Here is a 26867-nt window from a genome sequence, read left to right as displayed (position 1 = left end):
TGACCAACATGGCGAAACCCCACCTCTACTAAAAATACAAAAATTAGCCAGGTGTGGTGGTGTGTGCCTATAATCCCAGCTACTCGGGAGGCTGAGGAAGGAGAATCGCTTGAACCCAGGAGGCAGAGGTTGCAGTGAGCCGAGATGGTGCCACTGCACTCCAGCTTGGGTGACAGAGCGAGACTCTGTCTCAAAAAATAAAAAATAAGCTAGTGGACTTTGAGCAAAGCAGACTGTTCGCCACAATGTGGGTGGGCCTCACCTGATCAGTTGAAGTACTGAATAGAACAAACCTCGCTCTACCCTGAGCAAGAAGAAATTCTGCCAGCAGACCACTTTTGGACTCAAACTGCAAATCCTGAATCTCCAGCTTGCCAGCCTACTCCACCTGATTTAGCAGATTTTGGACCCACCAAGCCTCCATAATTCTGTGAGCCAATTTCTTTAAAATAAATCTCTCTCTCTGTCTCTGTCTCTCTCTGTCTCTCTTCCTGTCTGTCTCTGTGTGTGTGCACATATATATACATATATATTTACATATGTATATATGTGTATACATTTTATATATGTATATATATGTATGTATATGTATATGTGTGCATATATGTCTAAACTAATATGTTCTGTTTCTCTGGAGAACCCTGACAAATACAATAGGTATGCTTTTAAGCCTTTAAATTACAGAAGGCTTCCCAGAAGAACTGGTATCCAAGTTGAACCTGGAGAAGAGAATATTTCCTAAAACTGGCCAGTTAAGCCAAGAAGCAGTTTTTCTAAAACTAATGTCTGTCAACGAGACAAATATTCTGGAATCCAAAGGTCTCTCCAAGAATTATTTTTCATTTCATGCTTCCATTCTGATACTCTTTTAAAGATTAACATAAGCATACCTGGTATCACCTGGATAACTACATAGAACCAGAGTACTTTCATATAATGTTAACATCTCCCATTGCATTTATGTCGATGATCAAGTTTGCAAGAAATCACATTAAAATTGTATCTAAAAATGATATGATGAGAGAATTTTAACACCACACAGCATGCCCTGTGCTGGATTGCCCAATAGTTAAAGAAAGGAGAGGGACATGCATATAAACACACACACAAAGATTCATTCACATGGGTTTTTTTTTTTTCTAAGATCTTGATATTTCAATAAGCCTAGAAAATAGTAGATTTAAACTCAAATCCAGCCTGGCACAGTGGCACATTCCTGTGGTCCAAGATACTCAATAGTCTGAGGCAGGAGAATCTGTTGAGCCTGGGCAACAAAACAAGACCCCATCTCTTAAAAAAGAAAACACACACACACACACACACACACACACACACACACACACACCCCAGAAATCCTTTACCTGCAGACACCTAGAAATGCTGCATGAAAATGTAATAGTTGAGCTCTGAAAGAAGAAAAAGAGGGAGAGAGAGGCCTGTTGATACTAGAAATAAAAATGAAACTGAATCTTGATTTTGGCAATCATGCATGCTGATGAATAAGCATGGGGCAGGAAAGGGGAAGGAGGCTAATTGAAGGCAGTGAAGGCTAAAGGTTTAAGTTTTATAATGAATAGAGAGTTATACAATGTAGAAAGTTGGAAGTGTAACTCATACATAAAGTCATATCTTGGGCCAGGCGCAGTGGCTCACGCACTTTGGGAGGCCAAAGCGGGCAGATCACCTGAGGTCAAGAGTTCAAGACCAGCCTGGCCAACATGGCAAAACCCTGTCTCCACTAAAACACAAAAATTAGCCAAGCGTAGTGGCAGGCACATGTAATCTCAGCTACTCAGGAGGCTGAGGCAGAGAGAACTGCTTGAACCCGGGAGGCAGAGGTGGCAGTGAGCCGAGATCAAGCCACTGTACTCCCAGCCTCGGTGACAGAGCAAGACTCTGTCTCAAAAAAAAAAAAAAAAAAAAAAAAAAAAAAAAAAAAAAAAAAAAATCACGTCTTGAAGGGCTGCAATTCTGGCCAAGTAAAACCAGAAAAACTTTGCGGGCTGTCTGGAACCCAATAAAGAATATCTCTGCCTTGGCTGTGTGTAGGGGAAAACACATTAAGAGAAAGCAAAAGACTTGGCCTGGGTCTCTGATGGGTTTGAAGTCTGAATGCTGCTATTCACAAGGACTGGGAAATCCCAAGCCATTAAAATATCACATACTTGCTCATAACTTTGGGGCACCTTGCAGAAGACATGCAAATCCCTTTTCGAAGGATGTTACTGCATCTTTGTCACACAGAATTCTCACTTTAAAATGTGCAAGTCCTGTATAAAATGAGCCCATAATAAGAAATTACAAGAGAGAGTCAGCAGACACAACAGAAGGATTGAGTCACCTAGAACTAGAACTAATAAAATAATAATCTCAGAGCTAATATGAAAAGTATATTTAAGCTGATTAAAGACATTAAAAAGCATAAAATAAACAAAAGAATATAAATGACAAAAATAGATTTGAAAAATAATTAAATAGAAGTACTAAGGAAAAATATACCAAAATTAAAAACTCAATGGATGAGTTAAAGAACCAACTAGATCTAATTGAAAAAAAAATTAATGAGCATATATGAAAAAGTTAACCAGAATAGATCCCAAAATTATAGATATTTTAAAAGATAATTATGAAAAATTAAGACATTTAGAAGAGAATAAAAATGTTTAACAATCTGTTAGGAATTTAGAAGAAAAGAATACAGTGTCAAGGAGAGGCAAGATTTGAAATGATAATGGCTGAGTATTTCTCAAAAGTGATTGAAGGGATGACTTCTCAAATGAAAAAATTTGAATCTTAACCAGACTAACTAAAGTAAAAATGCTCTTTCATATAATATACCATTGTGAAACAGAAAGGGAAAATCATAAAAGTAACTAAAATAAAAGAACAGGTGAGCCTAAAAAGAAAAACATTCAGACTAGCAATTGACTTCTCAGTAACAAAAGTAGAGGCCAGAAGATAATGGAATAATTTCTTCAAAGTACTAAAAATTCTAAAATTCTTTACCCACCTAAACTACCATTCAGTAGTGAGGGTATTGAAATATATATATATAAAAACATAATTTAATATATAATTTAACATATATAATTTAATATATATAATATTTGTCTATTATATATCATAAAATATTAAAAGGATTAAAAGGATTTATTCACAAACCCTCAATGAAAAAATTTCTGCTTTAAGAAGGACTCCAACCTCCCCCGCCCCCACATAATTAAGTTTAAAAGAAATGATGAGGCTGGGTGCGGTGGCTCAGGCCTGTAATCCCAGCACTTTGGGAAGCCAAGATGTGGGGATCACTTGAGGCCAGGAATTTGACACCACCCCAGGCAACACAGCAAGGCCCTGTCTCTACAAAAAATGAAAAACAATTAGCCAGACTGGTGGCGCATGTCTGTAATCCCTGCTACTCAGGAGGCTGAGACAGGAGGATTGCTTCAGCCCAGGAGTTTGAGGCTGCAGCGAGCTAGGATTCCACCACTGCACTCCAGCCTGGGTGGCAGAGCAATTCCCTACCCCAAAAAATAGTTATAATAATAAAATTTCAAAATAAAAGAAATGATGAGCAAAGTAATGAACAAACATGTATAGAAATTTAAACAGCACTGACTGTTAAAAAATACAGGGAAAGAACTTAATAAGGAGTGATTTTAAAGCATTCTAAGAGCTTTGCATTTTTAAAGAAAATAGTAAAGATACTGACTACTGTAGATTTGATCTGGTCAAATGATCATTTAAAAAATTGGGCCACGCGTGGTGGCTCACACCTGTAATCCCAGCACTTTGGGAGGCTGAGGCAGGCAGATCACCTGAGGTCAGAAGTTTGAAAACAGCCTGACCAATATGGAGAAACCCCATCTCTACTAAAAATACAAAATTAGCTGGGCGTGGTGGTGCATGCTTATAATCCCAGCTACTTGGGAGGCTGAGGCAGGAGAGTCGCTTGAACATGGGAGGTGGTGATTGTGGTGAGCCGAGATCACGTCATTGCACTCCAACCTGGGTAACAAGAGTGAAACTCCGTCACAAAAAAAAAAAAAAAAAATTGAAAAACAGTCACTAAAAGAATAGAAATCAAATGTTTAAAAGAGGATAAAGGAAATACTTTTTTTTTTAAGTAGAAAAGATGTTAAGAAGAACCAAAGAAAAAGCAGGCAATTAGAAAGCAAAAATGAGATGGTAGGAATGAATTTTAAATATCAGTAATCTCAACCAATCTAAATGGATCAAAATCCTCAGTTAAGAGACAAAACTCTCAGACTGGATTATTTCCATTTAAAGGAAATATAGGGGCTACAGAACAGGACACATAATGTCACAAAGGAAAACACAGACTTCCGAAATGCAAAATATGGAGTGACCTACAAGAAACTAACTTGCTTCTGAAACAAGTCAATAGCATGAAAGAAAAAAAAGGGGGAACTGCTCTATACTAAAAGAGATTGAAGAAGTATAACAAATTAAATACATTGACCTTGTTTAGCTCTTGATTTAAATTACCAACCATAATAGGGCCGGGCACAGGTGGTGGCTAACGCCTGTAATCCCAGAATTTTGAGAGGTTGAGGCAGGCAGATCACCTGAGGTCAGGAGTTCAAGACCAGCCTGGCTAACACAGTGAAACCCCGTCTCTACTAAAAATACAAAAATTAGTCAGGCATGGTGGTGCATGCCTGTAGTCCCAGATACTCAGAAGGCTGAAGCAGGAGAATCACTTGAATCCAGGAGGCAGAGGTTGCAGTGAGCCGAGATGATGCCATTGCACTCCAGACTGGGAGAAAGAGCCAGACTCCATCTCAAAAAAGAAAAAAAAAAAAAAGACCAACCATAAGAAAGCACAAGAAAATTGGAGGAATTAAATTATATGTTGGGTATTATTACATGATACCAAAGGATTCTTATTTTGCTGGACGTGATAATGGTATTTTGTTATACAAGAAAGAAAACGTATTATTTAGAGATAAGTACAAACTGCATAGGGTAAAATATCATGTTTGGGACATGCTTTAAAATAGTTCTGCAAGGGAAACAAAACAAAAAGAAAAGGAATATTTTTAAAGGGCTAAGAGAAGTAAATGTCGTTAAGTCCTGGTAATTGATTAATCTGGGTAATGGGTATATGTGGGTTCACTATACTGTATTCTCTACTTTTGAATAAGTTATTAAAAGATTTTAGTCCAACTACAAGCTGTTTTCAGAAAACAACTCTAATTGCTTCTCAGCCTTTTGGCTAAGACCAAGTGTAAAATACACCTCTAAAGACAATCAATTACAAAATTTCAAAATAAAATGATAGAAAATACTACACACAATAGCAACCCAGAGAAAGCTGGAAAAACTATATTCATATCAGACATTATTTAACTTTTACTTTAAGTTCAAGGGTACATGTGCAGGTACATTACATAGGTAAACTTGTGTCATGGGGGTTTGTTGTCTAGATTATTTCATCACCCAGGTATTAATCCTAGTACCCATTAGTTATTTTTCCTGATCCTCTCCCTCCTTGACAACTAGATCTTAAAGCAATAAAACAAACAAAAAAATATTTGGGAGGAATAAAGGAGGTCATCACATAATGAGAAATTAATCAGGGGAAAAAAATCCTGAACCTACAGGTGCCTAATAACATGTCTCCCAAAGTATATAAAATAAAAATTGGCCAAGGTATGAGGCACACTACCAGGCATAGTAGAAAGTTAGAATACATTGTGGTGGGTTGAATAGTTACCGCTCCTCAAAAGATATGTCTAAATCCTCTAAGTGGTTTTTTGTTGTTGTTGTTGTTTTTTCTTATTTGGAAAAAGAGCCTTTGCAGACATGATTCAATTAAGGATCTCCAGATGGTATTATCCTAGATTGTTTGGGTGGGCCCTAAATCTAATGACAAGTGTTTTTATAAGAGACAGAAGACAAGGCACAGACACAGAGGAGAAGCCGTATGAAGATGAAGGAAATGACTGGAGTTATGAGCCAAGGAACGCCTGGAACCACCAGAAATTGGAAGAGGGAAGAAAAAAATCTCCCCTAGAGAATCTTGTTCAGAGGGAGCGTAGCCCTGCCATCACCTTGATTCCAGACTCTTGTCGTACAGAACTGTTAGAGAATAAATTTCTGTTGTTTTAAACCACCAAATTTGTGGGAATTTTTACAGGAGCCCCAAAAAACTAATACATGTACCTCTCTGCATAGTTGGTAGATCAAGCCAACAAAAAGTAATAAAAACATACAAAAGATTTCAAGAGCATAGTCAAGCAGTTTTTATCTAATGAGCATATAAGCAATCCTGCACTCAATTATTTGTTAAAATATCCCTTATTTTTCATTGCACATGAATCATCTATATAAATTTGAGTCATATTGTAACAAAATAATTTGTCAATATTGTAGAGCTGCAATCATTTTTATCCTCTAAAAGAGCAGGTGCATTGCCCAAGTATGAGGAAAATTGGCTTAGAACTTTCTGACCTTTTAGTATCCTAGAGACAGCTTGTCTTTTTTTCTGCTTAGGAGAGAATATAGTTCACTAATTAGCCACAGATAAACAACTACAACCAGGCTCTTAATTTTATCTATTTTGGATGACTCTTACAGGAATTAAAAATTTCAAGGACACACAGATTCCATTGCCATTTCAAAGTAAGCATTCATGTTACAGTCATTGTCATCATTACTGGCAGGATAATTACTCTTAAAGTAACAGTCCCCAGAAGCAAGAAGTTGCCCCCCCGCCCCCCCCGCACCGTGCCCCGCCCCGCCCCCGTGTTGCTCATCAGCCCTGAGGCTTCATAAGTAAATACACACAAAGTTAACATGCTTAAATAAATGTTGCATGAATCAGATCGTGCATTTTATATGCCTCTCACAAAAAAGAAGTAGGTTAACAAGTATAACACAGTGAACATCCAGGGAAAATAAAATAAAATAAAAGTAATTTTCAGAGAACAGCCCTACCTATCCTTCTTATAGTATACCAACAAAAAACAACAATCAAAATACAGCAACATGATGGGAAGATACTGACAATATAAGCTGCCTTTTCCTTTCTCCTTGAATTGCATCATTCATACCGTTACCTCCTCGGGGCAAGGACTAGGTTATTATTTTTTGGCACAACTCTATTTAACCATGCAATGCGTGTGCACTTCCAGTTTGTAGAAATATTAGATAATTTTATTAAAAGAAAAAAATCTTCACACTTTTGCACCCTATTGTGTCTCCTGGCCCCCAGCAAGGAAAGAAATCTTTAGAACTGAATCCAGTTTGGAAGAAGGGATGTTTGCCTAGTGAAGCATAAAGTATGTCCTAGGATATCTGGGAGAAAGGTCACTGTACCAGGGCTTCCATTTCATCAACTATACACTGTCACGGCATTTCCTGGAGGGATTATGTAATGTATTTGGACAAAGACCTCTCTGGTTGCCCACTCTTAGTGAAAAGTGAGCTTTGGAAAGAACAGTTAAGGCATAAAAACACAATTCCTTAGGGCAGCTTTGCAGACAGAGCCAAAATGTCTCATGACCCATAAAATACTTTAAGTTCTAACCAGCCCTACCACGGAGAGTGTCAGAATCACATCGAACAGCGTGAGCCACATCTGCCAGCAGACGTCACATGATGGGTTCCAAATTTCAGTTTAATGCTCATTCTTCCTCATATTGTGGTTTCTTTCTGGACTACATTGATTTCTTTTCAATTGTGACCTAGGCAGTTTGCATGGATGCCTTACGTGGGTAAAATGTTACCTTCTGAAAAGCCATCGAGAATATTAGGTAACATCAAATTCCTTGTGCCAGATTTTCAGAGGAAAAAATATATGGTGTTCTAATTGCCCTTTCTGGAAACAATGATTTAAAATTTTCTTTTTCTTTCTGAAGGGGTCATCCCAAGCTATCTGATGATAAGCTGATGTGTTAATGCTATTCCTTGATTTGCAGGAACAAAGCAGTTAGAGCCAAAAATCTTAAGTGAATTACAGCATGTAAATGTCTCCTGAATAAAGAGAAGCACATTCCTTTTGGAAGTAGACATCGTAAGCCAGGCGATGTTAATGAGTGAAGAGAAATGCTTAGAGCTTGTGCTGGGAGAGACAAGTCCTGCAGTAAAAGGACTTAGGAGTTGCCCTGTCCCTCTGATGTTCCCTGGATCTGCAGCTGTAGAGCTTCTCCCTGGTTACTCCTGTATCTGGATCATTACAACTTTCTTCTCCAGTAGATTCTCCATATCACTGCCAAAGGCTGTCTTTTCCTCATTGTTTTCAACTACCCACACATTTCTGGGACTCTACAGCCATTTTCCATTGCCCTAGGCAGCAAGACTTAAGCTCTAAGAAATTCAGCCCTGACAGTCTCCGAAGACTCTACAACCAAAATACCCTATGCTTCAAAGTCTCCCAAGGGCCCTCCTACATGGTCTTTATTCCTTTGTTTTCTCCCTTCCTTTATTTTCTAACCCTACTTCCCCTCCCCCCATAAGAAAACGGAGAAGATACACAGTGCTCTACCAGTTATGCTGAAGTCACACTGACCCCACGACACCAGCTCATAGGCTCACCCAGCCCTCTCCAAGGTAAACAGTGCCTGAGCCCTTCCTGTCCTCTTTGGCAGCTTCATCAGCCACCTGAGAGCTTTCGCTGCCCAGTGCCTGCTTCCTTGTTCTCTGTCATACACCCATCTCACCCCCATCCCACTGTGTCTCCCTAGTCTTTGGCTTTTTAGTGGGTGTCAACCAGAGTGCCAGGTGGTATACACATTCATCAGATAAACATGGTTTATCTCCCGGGGTGACCATTTTTCTCAAATTGAAGATGGGTGGAATGAAGGGAAAGGAATTAAGTAATTTGTCTAAGTCATCTGAAACATAATTTTTGTATTAAAACAAACACGGATGTGTTATGGAGTAGAATGCAAAATCTACATTACTTTTTAAAATGAAAATGAGACTTCAAAGAAGTTTAGCATCTGTGGAGGGTGGCTTCTGGCAGCACCAGTAGGTCTCTCCACTTGTACATTCTCACTTTCCTCGACCTGAGGGGCCAGCAGAGACACCGGAAAACACGTGCCAAAATCCCAGGCTGTTCTTGACTTATTAGTCAATTTCTTCCTTCACCGATTTGAGCACCTACTATGTGCTGGGCCCTGTGAATATAAATATGATTTAAACAAGCCCCTACCTTCAAGCAGCTCACAGTCTAGCAAGATTAATGCAAATAACCAGCTCTAACAGAATGTAATCACTTTTACAATAAAGGTATGTGCAAAATGTTATGGTATCATATATAACATAGCAATTAACCATTTCAGACAGAACAGAGGAAGAACTCAAAGTCTGGCAGTCTGGCTGCATTCCTTAAATCGTGTATGTTTTTCTACCATATCTCCTACCATCAACAAAGCCTGCCTCAGGTGTTACATTTCTGTGTCTAATTAATTTACTTTGCATAGTACCAAATGCATATAGAACCCATGCATTATTTTGACACTGGGAAATGGTCATGGTTAAACACATTGTTGTGGTTTGAATTGTATTCCCCCCAAAAAGATACGCTGAAGTCCTAACCCCCAGTACCTCAGAATGTGGCCTTATTGGAAAATAGCATCTTTATGGAGGTGATCAAGTTAAAATGAGGCCATCAGAGTGGCCCTAGCCAATATAACTGGTGTGCTTATAAAAAAAGGAGAATTTTGGACACATACACACAGAAGGAAGACAACAGGAAGACACACAGGAAGAAGGTGGCCATGTGACTGGAGCGATGCGTCTGCAAGCCAAGGAACACCAAGGATTGCCAGAAAACACCAGAAGCTGGAAGAGGCAAGGAAGAGTCCTCCGGTAGAGCAATCAGAGAGGACATGGCCTTGCCAACACCCTTGGTTTTGGACTTCCAGCCTCCAGAATGGGGAGACAATAAATTTCTGCTGTTTTAAGCCACCCACGTTTTGATACCTGTCATGGAAGCCCTAATAAACTAATATACAGATGCATGTCATTTCAGTGTAAGTTTCTAATCTTTTTTGGAAAATTAAACCTCGCCTTTGTCATTCTTGGCAATATTCTTTGCTTGAAGCTAATCTCCAAGTCATTTTCTCTACTGCAGTGGCTCTCAATGTGTCATCGCTGGGCCGGCAGCATCAGCATCAGCAGGGGGCTTGTTAGAAATGCCCTATACTTCAGGTCCCTGCCCAGACCTTCTAAATTCAGAAACTGTGTGAGCAAGCCCTCCAGGTGATTCTGGCTTGAGAACGACGGCTGTACTGCATGCATGGGCCAATCTCACTTTGCTTCTGAATCCTGTTCTACTCCAAATATTAAGGATTATTAGAGATTAGTTCTCATCTTCCAAAATATCATAACAATAAAAATAAGCTACAGCTTTCATATCATTGTCCTCAAGCTAAACCTCCAAAGATCCAACAGAGTTTCTTTGGGAGGGCTTTTAACTCCGTGATAGACAAAACTGACAAGTGAATGCAATGTAGAGATTTGGGGAATTTTCTCCCATACTTGGCACTGCCCTGCTGCCTTCGAAGTACCTCAGTGCAGATGTTCTCATGCCACAGAATACCCACCCAACTCACCCAACTGCCCCATCCAGGCCTTGTCCTGTCATTACCCAGAATCCCAAATTTCCTTCTCTCTTCCTTCAATAAAATGTCCAGGCCAGGCACAGTGGCTCACACCTGTAATCCCAGTGCTTTGGGAGGCTGAGGTGGGCAGATCACGAGGTCAGGAGTTCGAGACCAGCCTGGTCAATATGGTGAAACTCCATCTCTACTAAAAAAATACAAAAATTAGCCAGGTATGGTGACATGCACCTGTAGTCCCAGCTACTTGGGAAGCTGAGGCAGAAGAATTGCTTGAACCCAGGAGGTGGAGGTTGCAGTGAGCAGAGACAAAGCAAGATCCTGTCTCCAAAAAAAAAAAAAAGTCCATTCACTCACAAGTTCGGTCTCAAGAGAGTATTTGGAGAAAATTATTAATTTATAATTAAAATATTAATCACTAATGACCTCCCTCCTTAATTGATCCAGGTTGTATAATTTTCTAAGTTTTTTTTTTTTTTTCAACCTCAAAGGACTCTATTTGGAAAGGTTTCAAGTACCGTGTCAAAATAAAATGAAGGTCTTTTGTTTGTTGTTATTTTGGAGAGTGGGGTAGCCAGTGCCCTTTAAATTACAAGTTCATGGAGCAAACATTCAGCTAACACAAGGCCAGTCCTGTTTGGCAACTGTCTCCCGTTCCTGGGTCAACAGCCCGTCAGCCAGTTGACCTTGAAGCAATGGCACCAGGCCTGTCCTTGTACTTTTGCTGCATTCCATATTGGGTGGGGTTTTGGTTTGGGTTTTTGTGTGTGTGTGTTTGGGTTTCTTTCTTTTTCCTTCTTTCTTTCTTTCTTTCTTTCTTTCTTTCTTTCTTTCTTTCTTTCTTTTTAAGATATTTCAATTTCTTAACAGGAAATTTTAGCTGCTGGTTTGAATTTAATTGAAGTATTTTATATGTACACCTTGAGACCCTCAGGCTAGGGTATATTTTTAATAAATCAAACAAATAAATTCCAAGTCTGTACTAACTGAAATGTCCTCATGCCTTCAATGATGGCCCTCTAAATGAAAATACTGAAAAATTCAAGAATAATGCTGCCTTAGTAGCAAATATATATATGAAAAGCAGCCCAGATTTTAAAAGAGAAAGAAATTCATGGCCTAAATTTTCCTGGAAATTGATCCCAGTTCCAACTTCCAGAGATCACTCTGCACCCAAAGCCCCAAATAGGAGGAAAGGGAAATTGGTGTGCAATGAACATTGTGCCAGGTGCTTTATTTCTTTACGGGACAGTTGGGTTAAGTGATTTCAACCAATCAGATACAGCCCCCTGAAGAGAAACTCCCATTCCTGTTCAAACTGTAGGTCTGACTCAGGTTTGCATATAATGGATCAACCAAGGTTAAAATCATCACTAGGCTCATTCCCAAAGTAATGCCTCGCCCTCACAGCTAAGTGGAAACCAAACCAGCCACCAGAGAAATGGAAGTTAGGCCATTGTATCAGTCAGGATATTCTTTTAAATAACCAGAGGGCTTTGTTGTCTCTTAGAATTGGAATGTCAAGTGGGAAGATAAGTTTCAGGGGCTGTTTGATTGAGCAACCCAAAAATGTCATTAAGAAAAGATCCGGCTTCTTTCCATCTCTCCACTCTACTTTTTACAGGTCAATGAATCCAAGTTGTTTTTGTTTTGTTTTGTTTTCATTATGACAAAATGGTGGCAGCCATTCTAGACTGACACGCCACAGCAGCTGGAAGAAAGACACGATCTTTTCCTCTGATGCCTCTCTCAGAAGCGTGAGTAGACTTTTTTTCCAGAATGCCCCAACAAAACTCTCTTTTCTATTTGTTCTTTCATCTAATATTTACTGAGACTTACTATGTGGCAGGCACTTGGATTTTATTAGAAAACAAAACAAGATGTTTGCCTTCATGGAGCTTCAGCAGAAACTTACATTTTAATGTCTTTTGAGTCTTATTTGAGCTGTCCCTTGACTTCTTAGGTTCTGATAACCTCACTTTTTCCCTTTGTCCCTGCAAACTTAAGTGTGGTAGCTGTTTTTAGCCATTAGTGATCTCTGGTTACCTGAGTGTTGCCTTTTTTCTCTCTTAACCTTTCAAAGAACAAATATGTATCTCCTTTCTGAAAGGGATCCTGACGGATGTGGGATGGAAACCTAAACAAATAACTATTTGCTATGAGAAAAAGTTGGGAAGGTGAAAGTAAAGCCTGAGTAGGACACCAGTCTATAATCACTAGATGATTTAACCCCAGCTGGGATACTGCCAAGTGAAAAGCCATGAGTCAGCTCTACTAATATAAATTGAGGACTGATTTCTGTAAAGGTGGTGCATATCTAGGCATAACTGGTAAATTTATCTCTAGGCATCTATCTGCATGAATGGGTTTGTGTTGAATAGAAGGAAACTTTCTAGGAGAAGTTTTCTGAATAGGTACCCAGTGGGAGAGAAGGTACCAAAGGAAGGAAGGAAGAAGGAAGAAATTGTAGATAGAAAGCACAGTGATGCTTCCTCTGTCCACTCACAGGGTCTAGGTCTGCACCCCATAGAGAGACAGGGAGCAGGCTGGCCAGAGAAGACAAGCAGCACTACTTGAAGCCCAGGTGACAGCTGGCTGGAGCATTCTCTGACTCTTAACGCTGTGGGGTCTGGCTCATTCTCTCTCTGGGCCCACTTTATCTGGGCTTTCATCTCATCATTCCACCAAAACTGCTCCTGTGAAGGCCACAAATGACCTCCATGTTGCCAAATCCATCGCTCAAATGTCAGTTCTCATCTTACTTCAATATCAGCATTGCTAATCTTTTGTTTTCTTCTCCAAAAGCTTATATTTTAGAGACATTCAGCTGCTCTGAATGAGTGCCAAATAGCTAAAGGAAAACTAAACCATCATCTAATCCATTTGACTAATAAGAATGATGACAATAGTAGTAGCTGACATTATTGAGCATTTACCATGTGCCAGACAACATTCTAAGCACCTTACGTGGATTATCTCATTTAATCCTCACTGCAGTCTTGTGAGATAAATGCTATTATTATCTTCATTTTATAGATGAGGTCTCTGAGGTACAGAAAGATTAAGTAACTTGCCAAAGGTCACACAACCAGTAAGTGGTAGAACCAGGAAGTCTCCGTATTTCCATTGTTTGAACTCAAGCAAATCGAATTCCCTATCAGAATTTTCAAATTGTCACCCGCATATGTTTTGGTGATGTACATATCAGAAGGAGAGAGAACTGAGTTTAAGGATGTCAGGTTCTTAGAAAGATCACCACACTATTCTGCCTCCTCCACACTACTGTCTTAGTTCAGACCATGGCTGGCCATGGTGAATTGACCTGCAGCCAGAGGGGTCAGAACACCATTCAGAGAGACCCGGTAGGGGAGCGCAGTCCAGCAGACAGAAGGTCTATGGATGGCCAACAACATTGAAGAGGCCCGGGGTTCGCAGAGCAGGACAACAGGAAGTCTCAGAAGTGGATGATGTTCTCATCAAAGGCCAATGGAGACCTCCATTGGAGGGTTCCAGGGACCGAGACACCAGGTTGAAGTTCAGGAGTAGAACTGTTACCCCTGAGAAAGGAACTGGAAGAACAAAGCAAAACGGGAGCCCTAGTGGGAAAAATGTTTCAGCAGATTATAAAAATTGAGACTCAGGAGCAAAAAACAAAGCATAAAACCATAGGCTCCAGGAGGGCAGGGAACCTGTTTGTCCTGCACCATCACATTCTCCTACACAACCTGGCACACACCCCATACTGTTCTGTGAGTTCCAGGTATCCAGTCTCAAACTGAAGGCCTGCTACCAATAGTGTGGTCAAGTTCATATTCAGTGGATATTGAGCACTACGAGAGGTGCTGTGCCAGCTTCTCTCGTGCTGGGTCTAGGAGCACTGGACTAGGAGTTCTTGAATGTCCCCAGTTAAGGATATGCAAATACTAAAGACGAGGTTGAGGCTGGATCTGCAGTCTGTAGTCTTAGCAGCCAACAGAGAAGGCATGTGAAGGATAAAAACTAGATACACCAAGCAATTTCCTTTTATCTTTCTTTCCAGAAGTATTCTTCATATTTCTAAATTTTTATATAATTGTTCATTCAAGTCATACTGCTGGCAGAGGCTGAATGTATCACCAAGCACTCTCAAAATCTGATAAAAACTGATCAGATAGTCTGATATTTTTTGAATAACCTTAGCAATGAAATCAATTAAGATCAGAAGCAGATTGTTTCCCAGAATTATTTTTTTTTGGTAAATATCCTTTATGTATTGATTTTGACCTGGCTAAAATGTTACTATACATTTTTGACCATTGTTGAAATACTCCATAAAAATGACTAAATACTAAAGCTAAGTGGTATCAGTGTTCAAAACAAAATCAACTAATCAAAAAGGACTCATTCACATAAGTACAGAAGCACCTTTTGGTTTTAGTATTGGTAAATTATTGCTTTATTATTAATATGGTTAATATATTGACTTCCTATTATTCCAAAATGTAAAACCATGTGAAACTGTGAATTAGTTACAGCAAAACTTCCAGTGCTCTTAAAATATTTTGTTTCTTTGTGATAATGGTGCACTTCCCTTTTTTGTTGGTTTATCATCCCATGAACTGTAAAGTCCCAGTCTCAATTACTGAATCTTTAACTCCATGAAGTCTCTGCATCATCAGAAAGTTCATGTCACTCAAAGGATGACACGTAGAACAGTGGTCCCCAACCTTTTTGGCACCAGGAACCAGTTTCGTGGAAGACAAATTTTCCACGGACAGGGTGGTGGGGATGGTTTTGGGATGAAACTGTTCCATCTCAGATCATCAGGCATTAGATTCTCATAAAGAGCACACAATCTAGATCCTTCACATGCACAGTTCACAATAACTTCGTGCTCCTCTGAGAATCTAATGCAACCGCTTATCTGACAGGAGGCAGAGCTCAGGTGGTAATGCTCACTTGCCCGCCACTCACCTCCTGTTGTGCAGTGGCTTCCTAACAGGCCATGGACTGGTACTGGTCCGTAGCCCTGGGGTTGAGCCCCCTAATGTAGAGTCAACTGTCTTTGCTCATAGAAATCCACTTTAACTTTCTCCATTTTATTATTTCCATCCGACCAAAAATACTTCCATTATAAAAAATGATGAAACAAGAGAATACATCAGAGAGGTTGATTTAAAACACTGTAGTTCTAAATTTGAATTGAAAGTAACAGTATAAATTCAGTATAAACCAAAACATTGGAAAAGAAATTTTAAGACAACTAGAAACGTGAACACTGACTGGATATTTGGTAATATTAAAGAATTACTGCCAAATCTCTTAGGTATGATAATGATATCATAGTTGTGTTTTTTTAATGGTCTTTATCTTTTAGAAAACCATACAAACATTTTCTAATAAAATGATATGTTGCCTGAGAGTCTCTTAAGAATACCGCAGGAGTGGAGGAAGCAGGTGTTGAATTTGGATAATGGGTATGTGAGTGTTAACAGTACTAAACGGTCTCTCTCTGTATATTATATATATATGCATGTATATGTGCATGTGTGTGTGTGTGCGTGTGTGTGTATATATATACACACACACACATACTGAAGTAGCTTGAATATGACTGGAGAGTCATACTTGCCTAGTGGCTCAACAGTGTTTTCCTCCAGAAACTCTCTTCATATGTTTTTGCAAATTAAGATAATTAATTTTCTTGCTTTCAAATAATCTTAATTCTCTTGCTTTCCAATATCATAGGGTTTCCCTCCACAGATTCACCTCATCCTTCTCTTTCATTTATAGAAAGCAGGTTGAATCAGATTGAATATGAATAAAGAGAATCAAAGTAGACAGCAAAGGAAGTCAATTAGACATGTCATTTTGAGAGGTAGAAGAAGTGGTAAAATGCTAGCTTATTGTATTAGTTCATTTTCATACTGCGATGAAGAAATACCCGAGGCTGGGTAATTTATAAAGAAAAAGAGGTTTAATGAACTCATATTTCCATATGGCTGGGGAGGCCTGACAATCATGGCAGAAGGTGAAGGAGGAGAAAAGCACGTCTTACATGGCGGCAGGCAAGAGAGCATGTACAGGGGAACTGCCCTTAATAAAACCATCAGATCTGGTGAAACTTATTCACTATCATGAGAACAGCATGGAAAAAACCCACCTCCATGATTCAATTACCTCCCACCAGGTCTCTGCCATGACACATGGGGATTATAGGAGCTACAATTCAAGATGAAATTTGGGTGGGGACACTGCGAAACCATATCACTTATTTTCTAAGGAATGTACTGTTTATTACTAGTCTTCAGTACTAGAGAAAAAACTTTGACCATCATATAGCATAAGATAGCCCTATGTGCGTCTGGGGAAATATTACTTCTGCAATCTCTAACATGCAAAAGGCAGAGGAACATTACTGTGTCTCTTGTTGCACTTCCAGAATTTTCCCTCCAATCCCGAGTTACCAGCAGTTAGCATTCATTAAGAAGTCAAGGCCAGGCATGGTGGCTTATCCCTATAATCCCAGCACTTTGGGAGTCTGAGGCAGGTGCCTCACTTGAGCCCAGGAGTGTAAGACCAACATGGGCAACATGGCAAAACCCTATCTGTACAAAGTGGGGAGGATCACCTGAGCCTGAGGAGGTTGAGGCTGCAGTGAGCCATGATCGTGCCACTACACTCCAACCTGGACAACAAAGTGAGACCCTATCTAAAAAAGAAAGAAAGTCAATACCTGGAACAAGTTTCTGAGGGCTAACTCCAGTCCACTAATGTAAATAATAATAATATAAATTATTTCCATTTTATGTATAGGAAAACTAATGTTAAAGAAGGTTAAATAATTTTTCCAAAAAATTCAATAACCAGTGAGAAACAAAGCCAGGATTCAAACCCAGTCTCACTTGATTCAATGTCGATGCTCTCCACCATGCTCACAGACCTCCTTCAAACTTAGAGAAGCTACTCCAGTGAAGTGCACACCATGTTCTCTCTTTAAGTGCATGACCACAAATTCTCAGTAGGTGCTCAACTCTGCTGGGAAATACTGCTACACTCCTCTATTTAGGTCACTCCCTCTCTACTATCATCTATAATAAATAAAAATCACAACACTGCCCTTTACCACACATCTCCCTCCAACTACTGCCCCATTTCTCTGCTCTCCTTCATAGCAAAATTTCTTGAATGAATAGCTTCCTTTTCCTTCCTTCCTTTTCTCTACTGCCCTACTACAATGTGGCATCCATCTCACAATAGAAATTGCTAATGTCATAGGCTCTAATGACCCCTATCTTCCCAAAATTAATGCAAGGTCTTCTCAACCAACATCAACCACTCTCAGCACAGTTGATCATGCCCTCCTTAAAACTCTCATCTCTTAGTCTCCATGACACCAAGCCTTGCTGCACCTAGGCAGGAATGAGGGTTGGGTGAATTCAGGGCACAGAAAGAAAACCAGTGTGGCTGGAGTGCACAGAGTAATGGGAGAACAAGACAACATGTTTGAGATGCTAAGGAGACACAGCATCATGTGAAAACCTAAAATGTGAAGGGAAGAGTTTGCAAGGCTTTAAGGGGATTTTAAGCCGGTGACCAGTGTGCTCTTCAAAGGTCACTCCAGCTGTGTGGCAAGTGGACCATGCAGGCAAGAGAGTAGGAGCAGGGACAATTAGAAGGCTCATAATAAATTCTTTTTTTTTAAATTTTATTATTATTATACTTTAAGTTTTAGGGTACATGTGCACAACGTGCAGGTTTGTTACATATGTATACATGTGCCATGTTGGTGTGCTGCACCCATTAACTCATCATTTAGCATTAGGTGTATCTCCTAATGCTATTCCTCCCCCCTCCCCCACCCCACAACAGTCCCAGGTGTGTGATGTTCCCCTTCCTGTGTCCGTGTGTTCTCATTGTTCAATTCCCACCTATGAATGAGAACATGTGGTGTTTGGTTTTTTGTCCTTGCGATAGTTTGCTGAGAATGATGGTTTCCAGCTTCATCCATGTCCCTACAAAGGACATGAATTCATCATTTTTTATGGCTGCATAGTATTCCATGGTGTATATGTGCCATATTTTTTTAATCCAGTCTATCATTGTTGGACATTTGGGTTGTAAATTCTAAAGAAGTGTTTGTTGGTTTGAATTAAATTGGGAAGAAGAAGGAGGGCACCAGTAAGCAGAAATGTCTGGAGGACAGAAACAAAGCCAAAGACTGAAACTCCAGGCAGCAGATAAAGTTCTCTAGGAATTAGTGAGGGGACAACCTCACCAGTGGGATTCAGCCCAGTTTCCAGCAAACCCATGAAATTGCCAAATGAGGCCCCCTGTCCAGAGGTGGCCATGGAGCCCAGTTGCTCCTCTAAGTGGTGAGTAAGCCACCTTCTTCAGCACCTGCAATTCCTATCGAGCAATGTTCAGCAGCAGAGAGAATTTGACTCATTATCTTCTGCTGTATCTGTCATGTCACATTACTCCTAGGGCCCTGACAGAACACTCTAGAGGCATGATGCATTATGACTTGACACAAGTTACCCAGTGCTGTACCTCATTAGAGGGAGCAGGGAAGGTGTGAGCTAGGGGTAACCCGCTTTGTACTATCCCGACTCTCTCCATGACTTCATTAGTCTCTTGATCTTTTTGTGGTTGTCATTAGGGGCTCAGAGTTTTATGTCCTGGTCAATTTCCAAACGACAGCTTTTAGTGTCAAAGTGATCAAGGAGAGCTGCTTTCCCCTCCCCCTGTGACAGCAGCAGACAACCACAGGAAATTGATCATGTTGGATAAACTCACCTGATCCTAAAAATGATATTGGCTTCATGCTCCAGAGCAGGGCAAAAACAACTGAAAAATAATTGCCAGTACACCCCAGAGGGAAATTCTTTCCTCTCCCCAAATTTGACAATCAATCTAACCCAGTACACGTGACTAAAAATCACTGCTGTAAAGAATGTAATTCCATTTACACACCAAAGACACCATGGCAGTTTGGTTTGAATAGGGGGTCATTTTGTCTAGGCTTTTATTTTTCTTCATGAAAGACTATATTTGCAAGACTAGCAAGGACATAGAATACTAAAATAACAATCACATCTAGGTCAAAATAAGCATGTCCTAATGCACGTTCTTATCAATCTTAGTTAGATTAACTTGTCTTTAGCTGTGTTTTGATCATTCCTTCTCAATTTTTAAAACATTACGAAAACAAAAACTATGTGCCTCATTGCAATGTTCTTTTCCACCTAGTCTCAGAGTTAAATGTGCTAGCTATGTTCACAAAACACTCAACATTTTGTGTTACTTTAGGCTTTTACAAACAGAAAGTCTGCAGATGGGTTTATTCATCTCTCTAGAAATGAGGAATCCAACCTGACCAATACGATTCAGAGAGAGAGAGAGACTCTCTGTAACCAGGAAAAACAGTTTACATTCCTTTACATTTAAACTCCAGATGCAACCAGGGCTTTGAATTTTTACATCCCTTGAATTCTTAGGGAAGTACTGGGGAAGACACTTGGGTAAAGTTGCTCTCTAAATTAGTATGACAGCATTCATTTAGAGCTTGTGGCCCTATAGTGTGTGCTTCTCTCTTGAAGATATTCAACTAAATATGGCACGTCTGCTCATCACTTAAGAGTACCTGGCTGGGTACGGTGGCGCACTCCTGTAACCCTAGCACTTTCAGAAGCCGAGGCGGGCAAATCACTTGAGCCCAGGTGTTCGAGACCAGCCTGGGCAGCATGGCAAAACCCCATCTCTACAAAACACACACACACACAAAAAAAAGTACCCAACTTTCTACAATAAAATGGGCTGGTGCTCATTTGTGTGTTATTTGAGTCTGTTCGATTTGTTCTTTTTCCTCTGAAATCTCTGCTCTCTCCCCAAGTCCTTCAAAGGCCAGAGGTCCTCACCTGCCATGCACCCCGCCTCAGGGCCACCCACCATGCAAGTCTGCCACCACACCTTGTGCCTGCTTTTTTCCAACTAGGAAAATGGTCCTGATTAGTGTATAAGAAACCAAACTATTTGGGGAAAAAAATCCAGAGTTCTAGCAAATGAACCAGGATTAAATTTCAGAACTGTGTTTCCTAGACTCTACATAATTTAGTTGGAAGGAGATTCAGTAGCCAATAAACACACAAGAAACTCCAAAAGTGTTCAGCAAGAAGGTGAGTTGATAAAGGACAAGGGAGACATCAGAAGACACATGACAAGCTTGCCCAATGTCATCCAATGACAGCATCTAACTATAAGCAGTATGTCAGTCATATTTCCCATCCACAAAATATGGTCTGTTTTTATACCCATGTATCTATCTATTTATATACTCACAAGATGAATGTATGTGTTTTTCTTCACATTTTCCTGAAGATATCAAAGCCCATAAAACTTAAAAAATAAAAACTACAAATGAAAATTATGTGGTGTGCATGTTTTCTAGATTTGTTTTAGAGGGCTTAATAGGCAAATATTTTCATCAAATGAAGGTTAAATTTACTTGGGTACATGGTGATCTAAGAGCTCAGAATGAATGGAGCTATGTCACCTAGTTAGGCAGTGTGGGCTCAGGTAGGATCCTAGCTCTAGTATTGATTTCTTGTTGTAATTCTTTGGGTAAGCTTCTACTCCTTCTGCATCTCAATTTTGTTAATTTTCAATGGGGCCAATAATAACAGTCATAAGATTATTGTAAGGATTTAGTAAAATAATATGTGTCAAGCAACAAGCATAGTTCCTAGCATACCTTGGTGATCAATGGATAACTAGTTCTTTCCCCTTTTACCTCCAGTTAGATTTTAGATATATACAACAACCTAGGTTTATAACGTTTTTTAGAAGTCCATACTTACATTATAGTATAATCTGTAATCAACTTGAATATAACTATGAGATGTTTTTCCTTTATTCTAGATTCCAGTTTATGTCTTCCTCTTGCCTATTTGAGGACTAAAGTCAAAATGTCTATACCATCCTGTACAGCCACATATGGGTCTTGAGCACTTGAAAAGTGACTGGTCCAGCTTCACATGTGCTGTCAGTATAAAATACATGCCAGATTTCAAAGACTTAGAACAAACAAGAGAATGTAAAACATCTCATTAATAAGTTTTATAGTGATTGATTACTTGTATTATTATTATCATTATTTCAGAGAAAGAGCCTCTCTCTGTCTCCCAGGTGGGAATGTAGTGGCATGATTGTGACTCACTACAGCCTTGAACTCCTGGGCTCAAGCAGTCCTCCCACCTCAGCCTCTTAAGTAACTAGAACTAGTGCCACCACACCCAGCTAGTGTATTTTATTTTTAGTAGAGACAGGGGCTCACTATGTTGCTAAGGCTGGTCTCGAACTCCTGGACTCAAGATATCTTCCCACCCTGGCCTCCCAAAGTGCTGGGATTACAGGCATGAGCCACTGCACTTGGCACATTTTTTAACGATAATATTTTCTGTATAGTGTGCCAAATCAAATCTATTATTAAAATTACCTTCACCTATTTCTTTTTCCCTTTTTAGCATGGCTACAGGAAAATTTAAAATTATATATGTATTTTATGATATATTTCTATTAAACAGCATTAGTTTAGAGAGTAAAGACCCAGAGATATCCCAAAGAAATATTGAAAGGTGGGGCTGGGTGTGGTGGCTCACACCTGTAATCCCAACACTTTGGGAGGCCGAGGCAGTTGGATCACTTGAGGTCAGGAGTTCAAGACAAACCTGGCCCACATGGTGAAATCCCATCTCTACTAAAAATACAAAAATTAGCTGGGCATGGCGGCAGGAGCCTGTAATTCCAGCCACTCGGGAGGCTGAGGTAGGAGAATCACTTGAACCCTGGAGGTGGAGGTTGCAGTGAGCCGACATTACACCACTTCACTCCAGCCTAGGCGACACAGCAAGACTCCATCTCCAAAAAAAAAAAAAAAAAAAAAAAAAGATATCTCAAATGGTGAGATATTGACCATGTTCACCAACAGCCCAAGGGTAAAACTTAGAATTCAGAGTCCACAAACTTAGTGAGCTCAGTCCTCCTGTTGCTTTATGTCTGGCTTAGCTGACCACTCCCCTTCGGTTCCTGCTTTTTCTGACAGTGAGAAGTAACCCACCACTGCAGGAAAAGATCTAAACCAGGGCTATCAATCTAAGTGAGCCATACTTCCAGTGCTCAGTAGCATAGGTGATTAATGGGGACTGCACTGGGCAGCCCAGTTCCAAAGAACAACCCCCTCATATCTTCCTGAGTATAATAAAATAGTTTTGGGGTGGATTTTTACAACAGAGATATAGCCTCCCCCAAAAGAACCAAGCTCAAGACATTCCCTTAATCTTAACCAAGCCCTACACTTTTATGTGTTAAGATTACAATAAGGCCTGGTGTGGTGGCTCAGGCCTGTAATACCAACGCTCTGGGAGGCCGAGGCAGGCAGATAGCTTCATCTCAGGAGTTCAAAATCAGCCTGGGCAACATGGCAAAACCCCTTCGCTACAAAAAGCACACAAATTAGCTGGGCGTTGTGGCACATACCTGTAGTCCCAGCTACTCAGGAGGCTGAGACAGGGAGATTGCTTGAGCCCAGGAGGTCAAGGCTGCAGTGAGCCGAGATCCCGCCACTGCACTCCAGCTGGGGTAACACAGTAAGAGCCCATCTCAAAATTTAAAACGATTACAATAACACCCTTAATTCAAATACTAGCCTCTATTTAATAGTTTAGGATTGGCCTGGCAATGAGAAGTGTTGGTTTTATAATAGGCTTATAAAAGACTGACGGTCTAAGAGAAAACAACCGAATTTCTCATTTGCTACTAGGTGCCGGGTGTTGAATTTTAACCCTTGAAGAATTCAGAGGCACACACCTCGACTAATTGCACACTGGGTATGAAATATAGAAAACAGTGGCCATGTAGGAGTCTGAATCAAAAGGGCTTTTTTAGGGTTTAGTTGTCATTCTTGCCTTTCACTGAATGACAAAAGATTTTTTTTTCTTTTTTTTTTGAGATAGAGTCTAGCTCTGTCGCCCAGGCTGGAGTGCAGTGGTGCTATCTCCGCTCACTGCAAGCTCCGCCTCCCGGGTTCACGCCATTCTCCTGCCTCAGCCTCCCGAGTAGCTGGGACTACAGGTGCCCACCACCACGCCGGGCTAATTTTTTGTATTTTTAGTAGAGACGGGGTTTCACCATGTTAGCCAGGATGGTCTCGATCTCCTGACCTCGTGATCCACCCGCCTCGGCCTCCCAAAGTGCTGGGATTATAGGCGTGAGCCACCGCACCCGGCCAAAAGATTTTTTTAAAATCATGAAACACCATGCAGTGTGCATCTCAGGTGTCTAAGGCCACGTTAGTAGACTAGTTGTATTGTGGAATGGTGTATAATCTACAAAATCATACTGGCTTATTTTACACTGAAGATTGTACATAGGATTTTTAAAGTGACACCTTTAAAATGCTGGGGAAATAAAGATGAACCCTTTCCATATAGAATTCTGAAGACTAATTTTTGCAAAGGCATTAAGTATTATTATGGGATAAATGCAATTTGAGATTCCCACCCCCACCCCCCTCACAAAGAAAGAAGCCTCAAGTGGAACTTGTGATCAGGAAGAATGGGGAAGCTGTCATGAACTCGCCATTGTGTTATGCTCAGAACACTAATTTCATTTCTCCTCATTCCTTGATTTGACCAAATATCTCAAATTGATTTATCCACTTCATAAAATGTGTTCCCTTTAGAAAGGCAAATCTGCATTTTTGAAAGAGCAAATGTCACTTAGTTGAGTTGTTGGACCACACGGGAAGCACAATGGCAGGAGCAGTGGAATTAGGAAAGCTGTCTTCTCTTTCTCTCAATTCTACCCAAGTAGAATGAACTAATTATTCAGCCCCTCTGAGTCTCTGTTTCCCATTAGTAAATTGAAAGCAATGACTGCAGCTCTCCTTACCACACAAAGACATTTGGATGGCTAGCAGAAATAACAGCATGGCTCCTTCCTCTACCTTGGGCACACAGGGGATAAAGATTTGACTACCGATTCCATCCCCTAATCCCCCTCCTTCTCCTACCATCCCATCCAGCTAAGAGCAGAGAAGTAGAAGAGAGTTCTGTACAGCAAGACTCAAAGAAAAAAGTAGTTAACTGAAAGCAATTAATTATTGGTGGTTTTGAGAAAACCCAGAACTCCTAGCTAACTTGATCTAGCTTCGTAAGTCACTAAAAGCCCAGTGCCTTTCCTGTCTCCAGCACTGTACCAGCCTCTGGAGGAAATGCAAGAGACCTTCCAGACCTGATCACCACACCCTATTCATAATCTCGCCATGGAGAAGAGACATCCACTTATGAAGCCAGCAGAACAGATGTGGGCAACTTTCAAAAACGAAGTAACAAATGGTCAGCTCCTGTTCTTCTGTAGTGCTGAGGATGGAAGGAGAAAGAGTGAGTAAAACATATGCTTAATCCCACATGTGGCTGACAAAGTGTAGTGGGGTTTGCACAGGCCAGCTCTTGAAAACTCATTATGCAGTGGTCAAGGAACAGCAGGGATTCAGGTGCATTCAACCACTGAATATGAGGAATATACAATTTCAAAATCTGAAGTATACACAGTTAAATCCAGAGATGTCTTCATGAATTTTTAGTAGAAAATATGAAATTTCAACAAAATGTGTGTACCATGCTGCTTCAACTTGTCCTTCTCGAAAGGACACATTCACTTCCCTTTGCCCTTAGTGGTTCTTTGATGTAAGTTTTTGAGAACTTACATCAAATTTCTTGAGCTTTTTTGATACCACTAACGGTACTTGTCACTCAAGTGTTTCAATAGACATATTCTCAGAGAGGATCCACTGAGGCACAGGGATAACTGCTAACCTTCATTCTTCTGAAAAACAAATGTAAAATGCTCAAGTCAAAAAACAGGACCACCTCTGGTAGGTCCTCAGAAGCATCAGGCCGTGCTGTGGGGTGTTCCTAGAGGCAAACAGCACATGTCCATGAGGAACTCACTGTGTAATAAACAGATCCAACCCATCTTTTTTATTTTCAGTTTATTTGTCCATACGGCCAAGTTTAACAAGTCCTGGAGTTGTGGCAGGCAAGTGGGTTACATCGAAGTTTCTGTTTGGAGGCAGAGAGATGGAAGATAAAGGATGCGCCTTTAAATTTCCCCTGAACGTGTTACTTTCCAGCTCTAAAATGCTTTTGGCAAGAGAAAATAACACATAAAACAATTTCTGCTTATAGATGAAATAACAGAAGCTGAATTTATCCTCCTGCTTAAACAAGAGGAAAACAGAACAAAACCTGTGACTGGTTTTCAGACATTAAACAACAGGCAATGTGAGACTGTGATGTCAAGAAGATAGTAACTGGCTACAATTGGTGAGAGCCATTTTCAGGCTGTAGGACGGGGAGGATGAATCCAAACACAGACCAGCAGTTCTATTGAGTTGCGGAGTCAGAGACTAGAGATCAGAGAAGCCAAGGCAGCTAAAACTTGAGGGGCAGAGAAACCAGGAGCAAAAGGATTATATACACAGAGAGAACTCCAGCATCTATAGAGGAATATCCTCAAGTACTTGGCTGAGTACTGATCTGCAATTGCAAAGACAAAGGAGAAATAGGAGGAGGAAGAAGAGGAGAAGGAGAAGAAATTGCCAGAGGTGAGAAAAAGAATCACCAGAAATGATACACAGAATAATTTCCAAAGCTTGTACAGGGCTGGAAATAATCTGTACTCCACCAGACAAAGTAGTTAACTGAAATCAATTAATCCTTAATGGTTTCAAGAAAACCCAGAACTCCCAGCTTATTTAATCTGGCTTCATAAATCAGAAAGATATCATAATATGGGGCATCAGGTAGGATCCACAAAAGGGTATTGCCTTAACAATGAGATTAAATTAGACCTAGATTAAAGACTGCTGTGAAACTGCCCTAACAAAGTATAAAAGCAAATCAAAAAGAAAAGCTAATTCAAAGTCACTTAACAGTGCACAAAATCCAGCAAGTAACAGTATAAAATTTACATTGCACAATATCTGATTTTTAAAAAATTACAAGGTATGAAAAGAAGCAAGAAAATGTGTTCTATAGCAATAGAAAATCAATACATGGAAACAAGCAAAGAAATAACAGAAATGATGGGACTAACAGACAAGAGTGTTAAAACCAATAAATAATAATAAAAATTGGAAATGTATAGCTACTAAGTTAAAAGTAAAGATGAAATGAAACCATAAAAAAATTAATCTAGGCTGGGCGTGGTGGCTCACACCTGTAATCCCAGCACTTT

General features: G+C 40.1%; 1 long non-coding RNA gene across 1 annotated transcript, besides 3 other annotated features; it reads left to right on the top strand.

Annotated features, from left to right (window-relative positions):
- Positions 1 to 135: 135 nt before the first annotated feature.
- LOC124904272 (uncharacterized) lies at positions 136 to 26829 on the top strand. Its single transcript, XR_007066320.1, has 5 exons — positions 136 to 430; positions 12214 to 12346; positions 21489 to 21611; positions 24818 to 25009; positions 25620 to 26829. It is a non-coding gene; the product is annotated as an uncharacterized LOC124904272 (long non-coding RNA).
- Positions 1449 to 1598: an enhancer, noted in NCBI's record as "active region_13193". NCBI's record gives its function as "activates an Ori minimal core promoter by ATAC-STARR-seq in GM12878 lymphoblastoid cells {active_cell/tissue: GM12878}" and the evidence as "EXISTENCE:reporter gene assay evidence [ECO:0000049][PMID:35858748]".
- Positions 2199 to 2248: a silencer, noted in NCBI's record as "silent region_9381". NCBI's record gives its function as "represses an Ori minimal core promoter by ATAC-STARR-seq in GM12878 lymphoblastoid cells {active_cell/tissue: GM12878}" and the evidence as "EXISTENCE:reporter gene assay evidence [ECO:0000049][PMID:35858748]".
- Positions 11130 to 11424: an enhancer, noted in NCBI's record as "tiled region #3190; K562 Activating non-DNase unmatched - State 24:Quies". NCBI's record gives its function as "activates a minimal TATA promoter and a strong SV40 promoter by Sharpr-MPRA in K562 cells {active_cell/tissue: K562}" and the evidence as "EXISTENCE:reporter gene assay evidence [ECO:0000049][PMID:27701403]".
- Positions 26830 to 26867: the final 38 nt, after the last annotated feature.

This window comes from Homo sapiens, chromosome 18, assembly GCF_000001405.40.
Source record: "Homo sapiens chromosome 18, GRCh38.p14 Primary Assembly".
Lineage (NCBI taxonomy): Eukaryota > Metazoa > Chordata > Mammalia > Primates > Hominidae > Homo > Homo sapiens.
The sequence above is the reverse complement of the archived record's forward strand: the minus strand, read 5'-3'. Positions and strand labels throughout refer to the sequence as shown.